This window comes from Homo sapiens, chromosome 14 (assembly GCF_000001405.40).
Source record: "Homo sapiens chromosome 14, GRCh38.p14 Primary Assembly".
Lineage (NCBI taxonomy): Eukaryota > Metazoa > Chordata > Mammalia > Primates > Hominidae > Homo > Homo sapiens.
The window spans coordinates 69,739,906-69,741,756 of record NC_000014.9 but is presented as its reverse complement, the minus strand read 5'-3'; the positions used below and the strand labels follow the sequence as shown (position 1 = coordinate 69,741,756).

Genomic DNA, 1,851 nt, shown 5'->3' with positions numbered 1-1,851 from the left:
AAACTTTCAGGACTCATGGAGAGCTAAAACGTTCATGAGTATCAAGCAGAACAGGAATTAACTGCCTGGACTGAACTAATCTTATTGACTTTTTGCTTAAAATGTTTGCTGATCCTTTGTTTTGTTTTTCAGAGCCTTAAAACTTTTCTTTTGAGCTATTGACAGCTTTTAACAGTTCAGTATAATTCTATGAACAAAATTTGGAGCATATTTGTTTCTCTCTACATAATTTCTCCAGAATTTGGAAACTATTTGTGAGTATTTTTAACTTATGGTAATATGGTTATTTGCATAAGTGTAATAAGAATCTGTTCTCATTTGTAACAGGACACAATTGGAGAAACTAGTTATTATACCAAGGCTTTGACTGGAATGGTGTGCTTTCCTTTAAGGAATCAAACTTGACTTATACAGTCAATAAAGCCTTTGGGAAACTGCCCTCATATTTTGTGTACACAGTCCATGTACAGGGTTTGTGACCTGTGGTAAATAAAGTATGTCACTTTCTGACAGGCACAGAAGCCCCAGGTTTATCTTGGAATGTCAACAGGAGAGGAAATTCACTCAACTCACAGGTATTTGATGACACATATCTATGGCTGGGCTTGGCTTTAAAAAGTCTTACCTGAGATTCCTCTTATGGAGGAAGTTCCACCAAAGCCAATTTAAAAGCCTGTGTAAAAAATAATTATTCTCGCTGCACTGTAGGCAAATAATTAGGCCAAGTGTAATAAAGCAAACCAGTTCTAGCATGATTTATCTTTAGTAAAAATGGGAAACTGGAGAAAAATTTTTTCAAAACTATAGTACACCTGTTGTTAGATTCTAGTCTTGCCTAATGTTTTTTCAATTTTTATTATTTTCTACAGTTTGAACCAAATTCTAATTTTTCTTGGCTACAAGTCTTCAAAATAATATTTTCAGGTTTTTTCTTTTTTTTCCATTTTGCCCAATTTGGAGTCACTGAAAACTCAGCTGTGCTTTCTTAAAGCCCTGTGAACTGAAGCTAAACAACTCAAACCTCAGAAGAAAATAACAGTAACCTATTTACATACATAAGCCACTTTCATACCTGCCTACTAATGTATGAACTTTAGAGTAATGTGGCCTATCTCAATTTTTCCAGGATTGTTCTTTTGTTTGTTGTTGTTTTTCTCCCTTCCTCCCCGCATTTTCTCTTTATAGGACATGAGACTTCACAACCTGCTAAAAATGGGCTTTTGAGGCCTACCCGTCTAGGAATAAACTGTCCTTGCCATGAGAGATCAGATGAAACCTGAGACCAGAGATTCACTTTCTTCTAAAATGCTTTCTCCAAAAGATTTTTAAAAAGAAAAGGGGGGAAATGTGAAAGGAAAATATCTTGGCCCCCTCAAGCTGGGAACCACTCAGGGCAAACCTGTCGCCCATTCTATTCAAAGTCATCCCTCTGCTCACAGAGATAGACGCATATTCTGATTGCCTCCTTTGAAAAGACTGATCAGAAACTCAAAAGAATCTCCCATAGATCTGTGACCTGGAAACCTGGGGGTGCGAGGGACGGGGTGGGGCGAGGGTTGCTTTGAGTTGTCCCCGCCTTTCTGGACGGAACTAATGTACTACTTACATATATTGATTGATGTCTCATGTCTCCGTAAAATGTATAAACACATGCCTGTGCCCCGACCACCTTGGACACATGTCATCAGGACTTCCTGAGGCTGTGTCACGGGCCCGTCCTCAACCTTGGCAAAATAAATTTTCTAAATTAACTGAGACTCGTGCAGATTTTCTGGGTTCACTCCATGTACAAGCTGCTTAAAGTCTCCTTGGGAAATGGAACCTTATTTTACGAGGAGCCAAGCACTCATT

General features: G+C 38.4%; 1 annotated feature.

Annotated features, from left to right (window-relative positions):
• Positions 248–1,447: an enhancer, noted in NCBI's record as "P300/CBP strongly-dependent group 1 enhancer chr14:70207027-70208226 (GRCh37/hg19 assembly coordinates)". NCBI's record gives its function as "activates an origin of replication core promoter dependent on BRD2, BRD4, P300/CBP, MED14 and CDK7 cofactors, with strong dependence on P300/CBP, by STARR-seq in HCT116 cells {active_cell/tissue: HCT116}" and the evidence as "EXISTENCE:reporter gene assay evidence [ECO:0000049][PMID:35650434]".